Source organism: Homo sapiens, chromosome 5 (assembly GCF_000001405.40).
Source record: "Homo sapiens chromosome 5, GRCh38.p14 Primary Assembly".
NCBI classification, from domain to species: Eukaryota; Metazoa; Chordata; class Mammalia; order Primates; family Hominidae; genus Homo; species Homo sapiens.
In genome coordinates, this window is record NC_000005.10 from 41778848 (window position 1) to 41798873 (window position 20026).

At 36.6% G+C, this 20026-nt stretch overlaps 1 protein-coding gene across 7 annotated transcripts in view, besides 1 other annotated feature; it reads right to left on the reverse strand.

Annotated features, from left to right (window-relative positions):
- Positions 1–20026, reverse strand: part of OXCT1 (3-oxoacid CoA-transferase 1) — a 140361-nt gene that overhangs the window by 48783 nt on the left and 71552 nt on the right. For 6 of the 7 annotated variants that reach the window (NM_001364301.2, NM_001364302.2, NM_000436.4 and 3 more), the window contains 2 exons: positions 15830–15902; positions 15156–15231 (listed from right to left, as the gene is read on the reverse strand). In NM_001364301.2, coding sequence (NP_001351230.1) covers positions 15156–15231; positions 15830–15902 — 149 coding nt within the window. The remainder of the gene's footprint in view (positions 1–15155; positions 15232–15829; positions 15903–20026) is intronic. The other variant, NR_157114.2, reaches the window with a different exon arrangement.
- Positions 15660–15954: an enhancer, noted in NCBI's record as "tiled region #14195; K562 Activating DNase unmatched - State 15:Elon". NCBI's record gives its function as "activates a minimal TATA promoter and a strong SV40 promoter by Sharpr-MPRA in K562 cells {active_cell/tissue: K562}" and the evidence as "EXISTENCE:reporter gene assay evidence [ECO:0000049][PMID:27701403]".

Here is a 20026-nt window from a genome sequence, read left to right on the forward strand (position 1 = left end):
AGATAAGTTATAATTTGTCTTTCTTTTTTGATCCAACGCCCTTTGGGAGAAGAACATATGTTAGATTTTATGTGTTTTGCAACTTTTGACAAGGAAGTAAAATATACTCAGAAGCAATATTGGAATGTGATTTTCACCATAGCATTGACTTTCAGAAGCAAATCCTCATTAAAATAACTCTCCACATTTCAAAGCCTTTAAGATCACTATAGGCTAAATTATTAAATGTAGATTATTTCTAGGTCTTATACGTGTTAGAAGCCTGAACCAGGTAGAAAAATGTTGAAGTTTTACCACCTCTCAAATATCGATTTTTTTCTAAGTATTCAAAATTCCCCATTACATAGTAGCATCTTTAGAAATGTGTAAATCCACAGCTTAGAGGTTAAATTTTAGCTTTGGGTTCTGTTAGGGATTTATTGAATCCAAGAACTTGATTTCAGAGATCATATATGCACTGTCTGATAAGTTAGACTAGCCACATGTGGCTATATAAATCTGAATTAAACAAAATTAGAAATTGAGTTTGCCAGTTATACTAGCCACATTTCAAGTACTCAAAAGCCACATGTGGCTAATGGCTCCCATACTGTACAAGCACATATAGAATGTCTCCATCATCACAGTGAGTTTTCTGGACCATACTGTATTAGACCAACAGAGAGAAAGTAATCTGTATAAGGTCACAATTTGTTAGTAACAAAGCTAAAACTAGAATTCAGGTCTTTAAAATTCTATGCTTACTCACTTTCTACAAACCACACTGTCTCCAAGAACTAACACACAAAGAAAGTAAAAGATCCGAATACAATAACTAACAAGCTCAATCTTACATAAAATTATCTTATTTTCATGTAAAGTTTAGAAAAAAAAATCAAGTTACCTGGCCACCAAGAAAACCCAATAAATTCCAAAAAGCAATGTAAAGAGTAACTCCTCCAAGCCTTTAAAATTTGAAGAAAAAACACTTATGAAAAATTACTGGGCCAAAAAAGAAATCAAAACTGAAATTACAAGCTACCCAGAAATTAATGAAAATAAGAACTTTCTCAAAGATTATGACATGCAATTAAAATTATATTCAGAAAAACACAGAGCCTTAAATGATTTTATAATAAGGACTGCAAATAAAGTAAACATTTGAATTTACAAATGTAGAACTAGTGTAACATTAAAAAGTGAGTAAAAGTAAAGAAAATTAGTAAGTCTGAACATCTACAGCATTAGGATAAAGAGAAGATATAATAACAGTCTGAGGAAATTAAAGGTATACAAGAATATGACATGTTTTGGGTGAATGAATTTGAAAATCCAAAAGAAATGGATGCTTTTTGGAAAATGCAAATTAACAAAATTGCCACAAGAAGTGAGAAAATTTGAGATGAAAAGGCACGAGAATAACTTAAAAATTGTTAAAAATTGACTATTTGTATTAAAAAACTGATTCAACATCAATTTAAATAATGACATTGATAAATTCAGGGTGAAGAACTGTGATTAAACAGATGGAAACATACTGACTACATTCAACTGCCATTCAGTTTAAAAACTATAAGCAAAGGAGTAAAGGCAAACTGTTAGAACAGTATAAAGGACATTTACTAGAAGCACAAACAGCAAACATAATATTAAGTTAAAACTCTAATTCATCAAAATCAAGTTCCTCAATCACTACTATTTACATTGTTTTAATGATTAAATTCAAAATATTTTCAGATAAGAGAATTGTGTAGAGTGTCTAAGAATTTTTTTAAAATTATTATAGCTGATAAGAAAATTTAGTAAAATGAATAGGTATAAGAAATATAGAAATCAACAGTTTTCCTTTATATTAGCAATAGACATTTGGAAACTGAAATTGACTATTCAGCTCAAAATATTGACAAGAACTATAAAATAATGTAACAAATGTAATGGAGGTAAAATGAGACCTGGAGAGTAAACTATACCATGTTCCTGGACAGGATGACTTAACTAATGCAAACTCATTTAATTCTTCCCAAACCAAAATATTTCATGTTTCGTGTACTGCACTGACCTTATAGTACTGTCTCCCACATTTTTTTTTTTTTTTGAGACGGAGTCTCGCTCTGTCACCTAGGCTGCAGGGCAGTGGCGCGATCTTGGCTCACTGCAAGCTCTGCCTCCTGGGGTCACGCCATTCTCCTGCCTCAGCCTCCCAAGTAGCTGGGACTAAAGGCACCCACCACCACGCCCAGCTGATTTTGTATTTTTTTAGTAGAGACGGGGTTTCACCATGTTAGCCAGGATGGTCTTGATCTCCTGACCTCGTGATCTGCCCATCTCGGCCTCCCAAAGTGCTGGGATTACAGGTGTGAGCCACCAAGGCCGGCTTACTGTCTCCCATATCTTATTAACCTCATCATAGATATAAAAACATTCTCTGTACAGGAAAGGACTGTATTGGGTTTGCTTACCACTCTACCCTTCATTGTTAATACAACACCTAATACAAAAAGAAAACAAAATCTTAATTTTGTTGAATAAAAGCTATGCCATGGATCACATTTTACAAATAAGAAGCTGAGGTCTAGAAAGATAAAGTGACCGCAGGGACACAGCTGCTGCTTTTTTTTTTTTCCCTTCAACTTTTATTTTAAGTAGCAGGGTACATGTGCAGGATATGCAGGTTTGTTACATAGGTAAATGTGTGCCATGGTGTTTTGCCACATAGATCATCCCATCACCTAGGTATTAAGCCCAGCATCCATCAGCTATTCTTCCTGATACTCTCGCTCCCCCCATACCCCAACAGGCCCTCTGTATGTGTTGTTCCCCCAGTGGTGTCCATGTGTTTTCATCGTTCAGCTCCCACTTACAAGTGAGAATATGCAGTGTTTGGTTTTCTGTTCCTGCGTTAGTTTGCTGAGGATAATGGCTTCTGACTCAATCCAGGTCCCTGCAAAGAACATGATCTCGTTTCTTTATATGGCTGCATAGTATAGCATGGTATATATGTGCCACATTTTCTTTATTCAGTCTATAATTGGTGGGTATTTAGGTTGATTCCATGTCTTTACTATTGTGAACAGTGCAGTAATGAACATAACACACACGTTTCTTTATAACAGAATGATTTATGTTCCCATGGGTATATACCCAGCAATGGGATTGCTGAGTCAAATGGTATTTCTGCCTCTAGGTCTTTGAGGAATTGCCACACTGTCTTCCAAAATGGTTGAATTAATTTACACTCCCACCAACAGTGTAAAAGTGTTCCTTTTTCTCCACAATCTTGCCAGCATCTTTTTTTTTTTTTTTAATTTTTAGTAATAGTCATTGTGACTGGAGTGAGATGGTATCTCATTCTGGTTTTGATTTGCATTTCTCTAATGATCAGTGATGTTGAGCTTTTTTTTTTTTTTAAATGGAGTCTTGCTCTGCTGCCCAGGCTGGAGTGCAGTGGTGTGACCTCAGCTCAGTGCAACCTCCACCTCCTGGGTTCAAGTGATTCTCCTGCCTCAGCCTTCCAAGAAGCTGAGATTACAGGTGCATGCCACCATGCCTAGCAAATTTTTGTATTTTTGTAAAGATCGGGTTTCACTGTGTTGGCCAGGCTGGTCTTGAACTCCTGACCTGAAGTAATCCGCCTGCCTTAGCCCCCCAAAGTGCTGGGATTACAGGCATGAGCCACTGCCCCAGGAGCTTTTTTTCCTATTTCTTGGCCCATGTATGTCTTCTTTTGAGAAGTATCTGTTCATGTCCTTTGCCCACTTTTTAATGGGGTTAGTTTTTTTTTGTAAATATGCTTAAGTTCCTTCCAGACTCTGGATATTAGTCATTTTTCAGATGGATAGATTGCAAATATTTTCTCACATTCTGTAGGTTTTCTGTTCATCCTGATGATAGTTTTTGGATACAGCCACTTCTAAGCATATTTGAAAGAAACATGGAAGGTTCTTTGTATTGGGATGTTTTTCAAAGGTAAACTTTCCCCTGTGTAGTGGAAAGAGCATCCCTACAAAACTACAGACAGAAGAGATAGGTCCTAATATTGGCTTAGCTACTAATTAGAGTTTTGCAGCCTGAGCTGAGTCACTTCATTTCTCCTGATTCAGGTTTTCTGCAATTAACATTAGGGTGCTTATAGCTGAATGATATTAAAGAATTATATCCTTAATTCCTTACTGTTAGGTGGGATAACAGAATTGCAGTTTATGAAAAGAATCCTTTTATAAAGAAATTTGAAAATAATCTTTCAGATAATGCCGAAATGTTTATGGATAGAATATGTGCAGCATTTGCTTCAAAATAATCTGAGGAAAAGGGAAGTTGAGTACAGATGAAACAAGACTGACCATAAGTGGATAACTGTCTAAGCTGGATGTATGCATTTACTATTCTATTTTTATAGAGAGTTAATTTAAAGATTTTCTCAAAAGTGTTGATCAAGATGATCTCTAAACCAAAAGAATAGAGAAAGATTTCGCCAACTGGGAATGTGAAATTCAGTCATTTAATAAAATTTAGTCTTCAAGATTCATTAGCCTTTAGCTGCAGGGTCACCAGCAGTAATCATTAGCCCTTTGGTTTCATTCCCTGCTAAGTCATATCAGCAACACTATGATTTATCATATTATTAATAATGGGTTTCTAGGAAGCCTCATCTATCATTTTTAATGTTTCTTCTTCTCCTTTTAAGTGAGCTGTTTAATGAGAAGAGCCTGCTGCAGTCATACAAATGCATCATTAGCCAAAAGGATATTTATAACAAATATCAAACTCATTCATTGTTCATGAGAGAGACAGAGATCGACTGATTCAAAGATGACCAAAATCCCACTCTATGCAAAGAAGTCTGCCTTTCAACACCAGAGGAGATGGAGAATATTTGATTAAATTCTTACAAGAGTGTCTGGTAGGCAGTGTAGCAGCATGGTTTGGAATCAGGTATCTAGCTCACCTTTCTTTCAGTCTCTGTGTTGAACATACCCAAGTTCCAGTGAACAGTCAAAGTCTTAGAGGTAAGCAGTTGTTCAAAATATATCATATGAAGCACAGCAAGGAGAGAAATATTTTCTTTCCTCCTAAAAAAGACTCAGGTAGCAATCAAAAGGCAAAATCTCTGTAAGACTGTTGAAGATGGAGAAACTCTTTCACATTCTCATATCCTTTTGCTTCTGTCAAAGGTTAACATGTGTGAGGGCCTAGGCTGGGTGAGATGGCTTGCTAATGAATTTGCTTTTGTTCCTTTCGGATCTTAATCTTTTTAAAAATTATCTTCAGTATTCCTCCCTTTGCAATAATTCTGATATTTCTCCAATTGTGCTTCAGTGTTTCCCATTTAACAAGTATTGCAAGATAATTTTATAAACATTCTTTGTAGAGGGCCTGAAATTTTCCAAAGAATTCTTTGATTGGTAGATTATAAAAAACAAAATGGGTAAATAAAATGGATAAAGTACTTCATATATGACATTTAGGCTAATTATAAGTGACTGGGCAGTGGAGACTTTAGAATTTGGGTGAAAGCTTAAAGAAAACGGGATGCAGAAGAACAAACATGCAAATGGTCCACCTACAAAAAAATCCCACCATGAATAAGAGTCATATGTACTCAACATATATCCTTCAAACCACAACAGGCTTTATCCGACAATCATTTCTTCATAAGGCTTACAGAATGCTATACAGATTTTTATGTATTTTGCAGGTTGTTTTGCTTCCATTCTGAAAGGCAGTTAAATATCCCCAAAAGTACCTGTGGCAGAATGTGAAGCACATAAGAGCAAAGAAGACTGTAATTCCACTTCTCTTTTCATCACTTGCCACAGATGTGAACTTGAATAGTTAACTCCCTTGGCCTGAATCTCTTCATCTATAATAACAGGAATATTTGTATTTAACTCAGTGTTCTGTGAGGATAAAATGGCAATAAATATTCAGAACCTGGCCAGTGACATGTGCTTAATAATTGTTAGTTCCCTCCTTGTAAAAAATAGATTTAGAATTTAGCTGTGGCTTTTAAACCTTAATCACAGTTTTTAATCATTGACAGGATCTTTCAAGTAAGAGAAATTTTCCTGACAAAATGAATATGTCAAATATGTCAGTCTCTAAATATACCTTTAGTCTGAAAAATATTGGGTGTAAATAAGGAAACTAAACATTAGTTTTCAACATGTTTTCCAGATAGTCATAGATAAAAGTATTTTTGAATAACCAAATATAGCACCCAAGAAAAGTATAATAAATAGCTTATGTTTCTAATAACATCCTAAATTGGTGAATCACTAATAAAAAGTTGCCTTTCTAAAAAAAATGCATGCCCATTTGTTAAATCACTGTATAAGAGGAAATAATATTTTGCTCCTGGAAATTCTGAAGGCATTAAATGCATTTTCCAAACAGCACAGGAAGTAAAGGTCCATCCCAATGGGTCAGTATTTTTATTCCCTGTTAGGACAAACAGGGTTTGGCTGGGTTCTTCCACAGTCCTCTGTGGAAAACAGAACAGGCTAGGGGGAACTGCCTAGAGGTATTAGAACCATAGTTGGAAAACACCCTTATATGCACCAAGGCTTAGCTGAATATGAGCTTGAATTGGCAAATATGCTGGAAAAATATTGAAGAGTTTTTTTCCTCATTTTTAAAGATTACTTAAAAGACAGTTGACTGTTTAGAGCAAAAATAATAGCAAAGTATTATAAGATTTATATCACGTGCAGAATTAAATATGATAAATAGGGAGGATTAATGGCAACAAAAAAAGGCAGGCTCATGAGCAAAAGTGGTTGGTAACCAGATGTTAGATGAGATCTTGCTGTCTCACTTTTAACTGATAGAAGAGCTAGGGGATACCAGCATGTAGGATAGATGCTCAGAAGTAGAATTTACAAAGGAAATAGTCAAAAGCACATCCCAAGGCTCTTGGGACCCTCAGCAGGCTGAAGGAATACAGTATAGGAATAGCAAAGGTTTTGTATGAAGGATTTATTTCATGAAAAGTATTCTAACTACCCCTACATTTCTCAGCAACCAAGGAAGGGGTAAGGGTATGCCTGCTGCTCACTCCATTGACAAATCAGAGCCTGAAAGATGGGGAGTGCAGATAGGGAGTGCTGCCTGACTCTTACCTGAGAAAATTAAAGGGGCTGTTTTGCGGAAGTAACTACACTATCACTGGAGGCAGTAGAAGAAATGTGAGTGCTTCCCAGATGGGGGCCATGTGAGAGAGGAACAACCTCAACAGGTTAATGCTTTGTCAACAGGATAGCCCAGGAAGAGGGACTCCACCGGTAAGAGTCTATATGTTAAGTGGACCGCAGGAAAGTCAGAAGCTGCTGGGGAAGCATCCAGCCATCACCCATAGGAGCAGCCGCTGCAGGAGGAACCAAGAAGGGGGTCTCTAAAGACAACTGCTCACCCCACTCCACACACACAGAGAGAGGAAGGGATCAGCTTTAAATATTTTTATGGACCAGAGATCATGGAGCCAGCAAACAGGATTACCAGTCTCCTGCTATGTAAAATCTTTCCTGCCCTATTTCCTTGCCTTCCCTTTCTCTTGAATTTTGATCCTGGTGGGTGCCAAACAGTGAGCTGGAAGAGGAGGGGAGTAGAGAAAAAGCAAAAGCATACTATATAACCTTCTTCAAATGCAGGCAGACTGTAGCTGGGAGATCAAAAATGAGGAGATGCATTGCTTTTGAATGATTATTAAAGCATTTTTCACTGTTTTGGAATGGACCCTCTAATGTCTGAATGAAGACTGAGTTTATGAATTAAAGTCACTTAAGAGCTGTTTATTTTCCTAGAGTGAGCTGAAATGTCATGCAGCCTGAGTATTCATTAACAGCAGAGGAAAAGCTTCCCTAACAGAATAGGTTAAAGAGTACCACAGGAGATAAAAATAGCTGTATTTTATTCTATCCCACATTTAGAGCTTGTTCAAAATATTGTAAACAGAAGAAATGCACACACATTCACATACATGCTTGTTACAGTGGATCTCCTAAGATACATTCACTAACACAGAATACTCATTATCAATGTTGTTTTTTAATATAACTAAAGAGAGCAACACTGGAATTTGAAGAGAGATAATTGCTAGAAGCCAAAAGGAAGGTCTCCAAAACAAGAGAGAAAATGATTAAATGCCCTCCTGAAGAGTAAGGTACGGCTGCCCCTTAAACAATCCCAGAGAGCAGCTTTATAAAGAAATGCCAAATAACGCAAGAAAATAATATAGCTTTTAAAAAGCTGATACCAGTGTTGGTAATAGAGTAGAAACAGTGTGAGAGTAAACTGGGATAATTTTTCTGGCCAGTAACTCTGTGATATATCAAAATCCCTAAAATACTGACAAAGATATTCTATTTCTAGGGATTTGTACTAAGAAAACCATCAGTAAATACACAATGACATAAATTCAAACATGTTATTAATGATATTAAACAGTTAGAAAAATCAAACTGACATGAAAAAGTGGCTTTCGGACATTAGACCACACACAGTACGGGACTACCATTTCTGAAAGAAGGGAAGCCAACAAGATAGGTCTACAATTTCCCCCAGCTTACTGCCTGGAGAGAATTTGCAAGCTGCAGTACAGGAAGTCAAACTCAGCAATTTTGTTGGCTTCAGAGAGCCTGAGGCAACTACAATTTGAGATCTGAAAATACCAGAAAGGAGGTCATTATACAGAGTGAGAGCTCAGATTTGCAGAGGAAGAAGGTCTCAAGTCTTTAGCAGAGTATGAATATGTGCATATATGAGAAGAAATTAGTCAAAGCCTGAAAAAGAACCATTAAGCAAGCATTAGGCAAAAAAAAAAAAAAAAAAAAAAAAGCCCAAAACTAACACAGGTCTAGGAACAATTCACAATCCTACCAAACAGTGAGGAAAGATTTTGTAATATATGGAGCATCAGGCAGAGTCCTCCGAAGAAAACTTTCTCAGTAGTGGGGCTATAAATTAAACTGCAACTAAAGGCTACTCTCAACTAATCTTAACACAGCTTAAAAGCAAATATTGAAAAAGATCAACCTGAGAGACATCTATAGAATTTGTGCTACAACAAACATCAAAGGATGTCCTTCAAGCAGAAGGAAAAAAACATCAAATGGCAATCTAGATCTCTGCACAGAAAAAGTGCAACAAACAGAAAATATGTTGGAAAAATATAAAAGATTTTTCCTCATTTTCAAAGATTACTTAAAAAGATAGTCGAGTGTTTAGAGCAAAAATAATAGCGAAGTATAAGGTTTATGTCACATGCAGAATTAACTATCACTAAAGAACACACAATAAGGCAGAAAACAGAAGTTTACTATTGTATAATTCTTACATTATATATAAAGTGATATATTACTTGAAGTAGATTGTGATTAAAATATGTATATGGTAGACCCTAGAGAAGCCACTAAAAAGTAATCCAACAGTGAAGATAAAATACTCAAAAAATACGTAATTGATCCCAAAGAAATCAAAGGGCAAAAAGGACAGATGAAGTAAACAGAAAAAAAAATATCCTGATAGATTTAAACCCAACCATATTGATGACTACATTAATTGTAAATGGTCTAAACCTCCAATTATGATTTAGAGATTATAAGATAACAATCTAACTATATGATTACAAAAACCTACTTAAAAATAAAGGTGTTCATAGGTTACAGGCAGAAGAATGGAGAAACATACTTTGAAGAGTGACTATATCAGCATCAGACAGTAGACTTCAATAAAAGGAATATTATTGAAGAGACAAAATGACAGATCAATTCATTAAGAGAATGTAAGCTTAAATGTGTATAAATGCAAGTAGTAACAGCTCTAAAACAGATAAAGGAAAAAGTGGTATAACTGAAAGGAAAAACAGACAAATCCACAATTATAGCTGAAGATCTCAAGACTGCTCTCTCAGTAATTGACAAGACACAGAACACTTGAACAATACTAACTGCCCATTTGATCCAATTGGCACTTACAGAACACTGTACCCAACAAGAGCAGAATATATATTCAAGTGCAAATGGAACAGTCACTAAAATAGCCTACATTCTGGGCCATAAGCAAGTCTCAAATTTAAAAGGACTGAAACTATAAAGTGTGTTTTCTGACCTCAAAAGAATTAAACTGAAAAATTTTTAAAAAGTTATGTGGAAAATTACCAAATATTTGGAAACTGACACACCTTTAAATAAACAATGGGTCATACAAAAAATAACAAGGAAGATTAGAAAGTATTTTGAAGAGACTGAAACAACATAAAAATTTGTAGGATGTTACTTGCTTATATTAGAGAAAAAAGGTTTCAAATCAGTGATCTAAGGCAGAAGTTGGCAAATCTTTTCTGTAAAGGGCCAAACGGTAAATATTTTAGGCTTTGCAAGCCACACAGTTTCTATCCTAACTATTTAAAGCAGCCATAAACAATACGTAAATGAGTGGATATGGCTATGCTCCAAGAAAAATTTACAAAAATAGGCAGTGGGCCAGATTTGGTACATGCAACACAGTTTGCTGACCCCTGTTAGAATATCAGCTCCATAAATGCAGAGAATTTTGTCTGTTTTGTTAACTACTGCATCCCCAAAAACGTTGTCGTTTATATTTAACAGTGCCTGACCCTTAATATATGCCAGATCAATACATGTTGAATGAATTAGCGAATTTAATCCTCAGAACAAGCATGAGTTAAAAATTGTCATTTTACCAATGAATATACTACAACAGTGATATACTACATGATCAATAAGTAAAGAACCAGTATTTAAGCTCAAGTCTGTCTAATTCCAAAGTTTTATGAGCTTTCCACTACATTACACTAATAAGACAAAGGCATTACTAATTGTAAAAGTTTCATATGACCTCATATGGATTTTCCACCTGTTTTTCTTTTCCTGAGCCTCAGGACCAAATGGACAATACACTAAAGTTAAAACAATGTCTAGAGATTTATGCTTATTTCCTCACCTATGTCATAATATATTTAAATATCTATATTTTGGACTAACATTTGGATTACAATTGATGCAACTAAACAGACTGAATCTTCAACACAAACCCCCTTGTAGTTTTATAACCAGGAATACTAGTGACTTAACTTATTTAAAACAGGTAGCATGTCTAGAGAACCCAATCAATTTTATGTGCTCAGACATGTAGCACACAGGAGTATGACATTAATTAGTATTTATTCTTTTCAAATGCACAAAGATGTGAAAAATGTGAGGGAGAAAAGGAAAAAAATAAAAAAACACCAAAAGTGTCCCATTCTTTCTTGCCATAAGAATGCCTCATTCAATCCTCTCCACATAGAGGAGGGCTCTTGGCTCTTGTGCCACTCACGTACTGCAGCCCTGTCCAGTGGGCTGCTATTTTGTGCTTTCAATAACCAGCTCTCATAGCTGACCATACACATCTGCTTCCCTTCATAAGTCAATAATCAATGCCAGCTGTTCTCCAAAAATAGGCATTCAGAAAGCACTAGAGCAGCTCTGAATATAGATTCAGCGGACTGCACATCTTTCCATCATTTATTCGCTTGCCTGGGGTTTTACCATCATCACAATCAGCAGCGAGCTTGAAGGAGCCAACTACTGTTTTGTCAAGTTTTCCTCCTTTGGATGCTCAGGGTAGAATTGTTAAAAATCTGTGTACATGAGACCAACACTGCATACTAAGAAGCTATTAAACGGTAAGACAAATAGCATCCACACCGTTTGCTTGCCCTGAAGGCTTAATGTTTATTGTAATCTGATGCTATAATGATTGATGATAATGTCATGATGCTGAGAACTCATGGCTTACACAGCCATTGAAAGATTATTAAACTCAGGAAAAAGATAAAAGTAAATGAAAAATAATATAATAAAGCTGAATTTTTCAGCTTCTTGACTGCCAGATCTTGCAATAAAAACATATTTAAATTACATAAGTCAACAAATCTTTGGGACAAATAAAAATAGATTGCTTACTGAAATTACATAAGGAAGGTAAGCTGTATCTTTATCCATAACCAATAAAAGAAAAAAAATGTGTCCTCAAAGGGCTTAATTTTGGTGCTTGAATAGGGACTTAGGATAAGCAGGTTGTACTGGCTCCTGTAAAATCATCTCGCTTTTACCAGTGTATTTTAAGGTAAATATTTCCTCTTTAATTTTAAGTAATAGAGCATTACTTAATAGCCACTATTTAGAGAGTGCTTGCAGTGTTCACTTTTCATTTTCTTCTCACTTAATCCTAGCCAAAACATGTGCTTCAGATCACATAATTTGTAAGGGGTAGGGCTGAAATTAAAACCAAACTAAACCTCATGGACTTGATTCTGAAGCTGCCCTGAGTCTCAAACAATGAAAATATACATGGTGCATCACATACAAAGAAGTTAGGAAATGATTATCAGTTATGAAAGCAACAAAAAAAATGCTAATCAGAAGTAACACTACCAACTTCCATTACCAAAACAGTGGAACCAAACCCAGGAACACTTCTTATGCTTAATTTTTCTCAACTAGACTTCCATGATGTTCCTACAGAACTCCAGAGTTGTTCATCCCACTAGGTCCATTCCTTTGGGAACTCGTGGGCTCCAAGTTATATTGAGAAAAGTATAAAGTAATAAACATTTGTATTTTAATCATTCACAGGAATCTTAACAGGATATGTAAAAATATGGTACGCATTGGAAAAGCTTTCCTACAAATAACTACATAGTGTACACTACCACTATGAGAGCTTCCAGCCTTACTACATGCTAAATCATAATATAAACAAATCTTATACTGATATGAAGATGCCCATGTTCCCCGAAGGGAAGAAGATATTTAACACATTTCTGCTTCATACCCAGGACCACTGAGCAAATTGATTTCAAAAATCATTAGTCTAGAGAAATAGATGTATTTAAAACCCTATTGCTTTTGTTCATAGGACCCAATGCTTTTCTCTTCTTTGCCAGGTATCCGCAACTTCTTTTTTATTTTATTTATTTATTTTTTTTTTTATGAGACGGAGTCTCGCTCTTTCGCCCACAGGCTGGAGTGCAGTGGCGCGATCTCTGCTCACTGCAAGCTCCGCCTCCCGGGTGCACGCCATTCTCCTGCCTCAGCCTCTCGAGTAGCTGGGACTCAAGCGCATGCCACCACGCCCGGCTAATTTTTTGTATTTTTTAGCAGAGACGAGGTTTCACCATGTTAGCCAGGATGGTCTCAATCTCCTGACCTCGTGATCCACCCGCCTCGGCCTCCCAAAGTGCTGGGATTACAGGCGTGAGCCACTGCGTCCGGCCCGCAACTTCTTATAAGAACAATAACCTATTTACCAGGTACTAAGTGTCAAGCTCTGTGCTATGTACTTTGTATGCATTGTCACATGTATTCCTTCATATAGTCCTATAAAGTAGGTACTGTTATATGATTCCCATTTTTACAGATGAGGAAAAATAGGAAATTAGCTCAAGTTACACTGCCAGCAAGCGTCAGAAATAAGACTTTAATCCACAACTATCTCACTACAGGGCCTTGCTCTTACCTACTAAGCTAAGAGAACCAAATGAGACCCCTAAAATTATCTGTTCTCAAACCCTCACTTTATAGATGAGGGCATTTTAACCCAAAGAGCATAAGTGAAATGTTCAACATCACACCTTGATTACTGGTAGAGTCAGTGCTAAAACCCAGGGCTTGCTTTCCTATAGTCACTCTACTACCCCGTATGGCCCTTTTCTAAAATTTGAAAACAGAAATACATTGTAATATCCTACACAAGTATTTCCACAAACTTTCTATCTGACTCACTGTACGATGCTCAGGAGACCCTCCCTGATTTTTTTGAAGCAATCAAAAGCTGCTAACCCTTGTAACTATGGCTGATTCTGAAAGATCAGTATTTTTACAACTAAACTAACAATATAATCCACAATTTGCTAAGGGTTCTTATTATGATGGCTCAATGATGTTTTTCTCTTACATTTTAAAATGAAGTGAGTTGTAATCAATCTTTAATATGCTGGTTCTCAAACCTGGTCACATATCAGAACCACCTGAGTTGCTTTGAATGACCCAGTGTCCAGGCTACATCCCAGATTAATTAAATTAGAGACTACCTGGGCTGGAACCCAGGCATCAAAATTTCTTAAAACTCTGAGGTATTCTAATACACCACCAAGTTTGAAAACTAGGGCTTGAATAATTATTAAAACTTAAACATAACATTTCAGGTGGCATTAGATCAAATGAGCTAGACTAACATGATCTCTAGATCAAATGAGCTAGACTAACATGATCTCTAACATTGTTATCAACTACATTAATCCACCTTCCTCAAAAAATTATTAGAAAACAAATTTAAGAGATTTCAAGAAAACTGTCCTATCATAGACCACCAGCCTCAGTTATTTGACAAGATTCTTCTTAGCTTGTTCTATAGAGAAACATATGGAAATCCTTAAACACACACACAAAGAGCAACCGGGCTACCAGCCAAAATGAGCTCATAATCATAAACATACCCATTATTGTTTCCATGCACGTACTTGGGAAGCAACATCCTGGTCTATAATGAACTACACTCATGAATTAAGTCAGTGATAACAGTCCTCTTTCCAAAGCTAATTCTAAGAGGTTTCTTCCTTGATTTAGGTCACTATTAAATGACAACTGTGCATTTCATATTAAATGACAACTGTGCATTTCACAAGGATATTAAACTCTCACAGGTTTTGAATTCCATAGCAGAGGACAATGATTATTTATGGGGTCACATGACCAATCAAGATGATTTCAATCACTGATTAATAGAATTAACAATTAGCAAAGTTAATTAACAACGCTAACAAACTTGTTAATTGTTCTTCCTAGTTTAAAATTTTAGTTATGGTAAATATTTGTATTTCTTATTTTCAGAGTATAATTAGCCCTTTTTCTGTTTTTTAAGTCTTCTCTAACTTGGTTTCTTCTAAGCAAGAGGTTTCGGCTCTGACCTTGCCTACTTTTAGTCCCAAATGCACAGTAAATTGGCAAAGCTGAATACTTCTCAGTGCTTACTTAATTAAAATTTGATTCTAGTAAGAAATATATATTAAAATATTTCATTTTTAAAGAATCGTGATCTCATGGCCCTTTTTCTTAGTATTTAAAATATAATTATTCTGATCCAAACATAATTCAGAATAAAAAATGTCTACTTACAGGTATCATCCAGTTAGCCAGGTCACCATATTTGGAAACCTGCATCGCTCCTAGCATTGTCAGATCGACGTGTCCACTGAGAAAGAAAGAGGAAGAATAAAGTGAACCTCATAAGCTTTTGTCCCCTTTGCTTGAACTTGCCAGCAATTAGAATAACTTCATACCACCAAAATATACTTGCTTCCCCCACCACACAACTGATTTCCTAATAGATCAGCTCCATGCTGACAGAGAAATAATCACTAAAAATTCTTTTTGAAAAAAAAGTTACAGTATACATTGTTTCAATAACAAACTATGAACAGGTGTACACAGGAAGACTGTTTCCTTCAGTGAGGCAGAATGTGACTACTTGAACACAAACACTAGCTAGAAAGTGAACACAGTTTGAAGAAAATGTTAGAATCCTCAGAAAGCACCTTAGAAATGTTTATTTCAGTATGGTTGGCACAAAGGCATGGATTCCATTTTGGGGGTTCTTTTCCTAACAGTGGGCTGGATATTCAATGCCCAACATTCGATGTGAATAATTTCACACCCTGCAGCCGAACAAACTCCTGATAGTTTTCTGGCTGGGAAATGTGGCTGTGTTTCAGAGCCTTGCTAACACACTCAGACGATGACTCAGCTCATTCCATACTGTCTGAAACATGAGGGGCTCTGTTATTACATACCCTCTAATCATTGCAAATGATTCATCGCTGGAGAAAAAAGAGGCTCCTGGAAGAATAGTAACTGTTTCCTTGCCTAAACACACACACACACAAAAGAAAGAAAAGGCTATTAGATTTCTAAGAGTATCATGGTGAACAGAGGTCCACATCTTCTCCATTCCCAAAAGAACTTAAGCTCCCTTTACCAAAATGCAGTGACATAGCAGGTGGGGGGACACAGTAGGAACCTTTTGTGGTGGAAAGCATTTTGTCACTGACATTGCTCTTGCCTTTGCATGATGATAATGAAAAGCAGACCACTTTTAGTTTTCTTATTGTTTGGAAATTCTCTACAGCAGCAGTCCCCTTTTTGGTACCTCAGACCGGTTTTATGGAAGACAATTTTTCCACAGACTGGGGGATGGGGATGGTTTCAGGATAAAACTGTTGTTCCACATCAGCTTATCAAGCATTAGGTTATCATAAGGAACGGGCAACCTAGATCCCTCATATGCACAGTTTACAATGGGTTCAGTCGGGCTTCTATCAGAATCTAATGCTGCTGATGATTTGAGAGAAGGCCAAGCTTAGATGGTAATGCTCGTTTGCTCGCCTGCTGCTCACCTCCTGCTGTGCAGCCTGGTTCCTAACAGGCCATGGACCGGTACTGGTCCACAGCCCAGGGGTTAGGGACCCCTGTTCTACAGGAAATGCACCCCTCTATTGTCCATACCTCTCCAGCCTCTCGCCATCCCCATTCCCTTCACAATCCTCTGCTAAATACTACTTAGGAATGAGGAGGAAGGAAGTTCTGGGGTAACACCTGTCAGAATCTAATGCTACTGTAAGTCACTGAGACAGAGAGACTGTGGAATCAACATGAACATAAGAAGGAATGCAATTTTGAAGGGAATGACACAGGAGATGCACCGCAGTTTCTTTTTTTAATCAACAAATAACTTCAGTGATAAGAATAACTTCTGAGATGCTAATGTACAGCATATAGTATTAACTATAGTTAATACTATACTGTATAATTGAAATTTGCTAGAAAAGTAGATCTTAAGAGTTCTCACTACAAAAAAAGGTAACTCTGAGGTGATGGATGTGATAATTAATGATTGTGGTAATCATTTCACAATGTATATGTATATCAAATCATCACATTACACGTCTTAAATATAAACAATTTTTATTGGTTAAGTATATCTCAGTGAAGCTGGGGAGAAATAAAAATAAAATTAGAAAACACATATAGAAAAAAAGGACCCACCTAATTCCTTAATTTCATTTGGCCTGAACTCTCGACTTTTCATCTCTCTCCCCTTTTCTTTCTTTTTCTGACTCATCTGTACTCTCTTGCCCCATAAGCTTCTATTAAAACCACAGGATTTTCATAAAATCAGGGAATAACATGGTAATACTGGCCAATGTATCTAAGGTTAACTTCCAAGAGGTCCCCTTGGAAGGACATCTCCCAAGACTTACATCTCATAATGAGGTTCAGAGCTGGAAAAGATTTTCAAGGTCATCTACTCCCCATAGAACTAATAAAATCACCTGACTCATATCTAAGCTGCTCCCATCTTGTGATCTATTTCCTCTCTATTCAGGAGCTTCAGGGGCCTGGGAATAGCTTCTGGTCTCAACCAGGAAGGTGCTCACATACCACTGTGCCAAAGATAAGTCACCTGTTTTGAGAACACCCCATGCATGGCCTCAGTATAATAGGGCAGACAAAAAGAAAGAGAAGCAAAACTGTTATTCCAAAATTGGAATAGGAAATAGCTCCCAGAAACAAAAGGACCACAGGCAGTCTGAATATCCCTAGCTGTGCAACACAGTTATATCCTCAGATTCTCAAGTCTTTCCCGAAAGCTAACTTTTCCATCAATATCCCCCTCCATTAAAACTTGAGTATGGAGAAAGAGTAAGCTTATTTATAAATATATAAATACTTCATCTTGATATAAATATATATCTCTCGAGGGAGTTTTATTCCAAATGATAGAAATATTTTTGTATCTTTTAAAGTACACAAAATTGAAAAGTTTTGAAAATACTTCCTGGTATGGTTAGCAGGGGCTTTTAAACAGCATGTAAGACGTAGTGGATTAAATTAGATAATGCATACAAAGTCCTTACTCTAACTTGCCTGGCACAGAGAAAGGGCTTTATAAACGTCACCTTTTATTATTGCCATTTTTGTTATTCCTCTCTCCAAAGCTACTTATAAAAGAGATAATGCCATTGCCCCTCTAGGGACAAATGCCACAGGACCAAGCAATTGGCTTATATGGTGGGGTTGTATGGCCAGCCTGTGTGAGCTCTAGGTTTTAAGACAGGCATAACACAACTAAACCTTATTCTAGACACAATGTCTATAACCTGCAAATTCAGATCCTCATCAGTCCTGTGGGAAGTCAAGGAGGAGGAATTTGTAGGACAAAAAGGAAGAAAAACATTAAAAATTCCAGTTCTTTGTTTTTTAGAGGCTAAATAACACTGACTTCCAAAAGACAACCTGCACTGGCTGATAATACATAGAAGGCATATTTACCATGTTATAGGAAACTGAGATCAATGGGAAGAGCTTTGGATCTCCCTATATTATTTGTGAAGCATAGTTTTATTAAAGAGCCTAGAAAACAACTCTCTTGAAAAATCATTATCAAGGCCTCTGCTAATACATTACTGCATCTTAAAAATTACATTCTTTTGAAGCAAGGTTAATTTTCAGCATTTTTAAACATCCAATATCTAAACAAAAATAAGTATCCTAAAATTGAATCCATGATTTTCACATAGAATGTCCAAGTTTGGTCAAGAAAAGTCGTAACTAAAGGCAATCAACACAAAGAGGGCTTTCTTATTTGGCTATTCCTGATTGATTTGTCTCCTCCAATTTTTCTTTATGTATATCTCAATTTTTCATATTTGGGCAATAGAGTTATCAATTTCATGGTCACTGAGTCCTTTGGCTCACGATTTAACAGGTCATCCACACAATAGTAAATGCCTACTATATGCCTTAAACAGCGTTATAAACCAAATTTGGGTGATCTGAACTAGTGGTTTGCAAACTTTAACATTCATCAGAATCACATGGAAGATTTATGAAATGCATAGTTTCTAATTCAGTAAGTGTGGTGAGGTCTGAGAATTTCATTTCTAAAACATTTCCAGTGATGCTGACGCTGTGGGTCTGGGGACCACACTTAGACCACACTGCCCTAAGCAAAAGGAACTTACTATACAGCAAGACAGATGAACAAATAATTACAAGGCAAAATGTGATATGCTTCTCAGAGAGACACTAGATATGTTGTGGGTTTAGGGGAAGGGCATTTCTGAGCTACAGTAGGATTTGGAGAAGAAAAATGGGCTGGAACTTGAAGGATAGGCATAATGAATGTTGATAGAAAGTTATCAGTAAGGAGATGGGGATAAAAATGGAATGGAGCAGAATAAAATCTCATGAAAGACACACCAAGAGCAAAGACATGCAAAGAAGAGTATGAGCCATAATCAGAAAACACCCAGCAGTCCAGAATGGGTACACAAAAGTATCCTTGAAGGGTACAGCAAGACAGAAAGCCATAATGGTTGGTTGCAAACACTACAGAGATCTGGAATGCCATGTTATCTGTACTTTAGACTGCAGCCCTGTGATTCTTCAGATGTGATACATATACCTCTAGAGCAGAGTTTCTCCTGCTTAGCACTATTGAGCATTGGGGCTGGTTAACTCCAGCGGATAGGGAAACTGTCCTGGTTGCTGTGGGATGTTTATCAGCATCCCTGGCCTCTACCTACTAGATGTTACTCCCCCAGGTGTGACAATCAAAAATGTCCTCAGACATTGCCAAATGTCTCTGGGGGCAAAATCAGACCCCACCCCATTGAAAACGACTAGTGCAGAGAGGACATGGCAGGGGGCCAGGGATATTAAACATGGTTATTCTTTCTAAAGCAACTTTAATCAAAAGTTAAGTCATTTAAAATACTGTATATTAAAATAAGAAAACATTAAGAAATGAAGAATGCAAAATGCACAATACAGAAGCAAAAATATGAGACTTAGAAATTTCACAACTGCATTGGGTTACTCTAGGTTAGAGCCCAGATCTTGATGGGACCTCTGGAACATTCCTAGCACTGCTGTCTGCACCTCTGTGCAAGTCAGGTCATCAGCAGATATAACTCAGTGTATAGAGA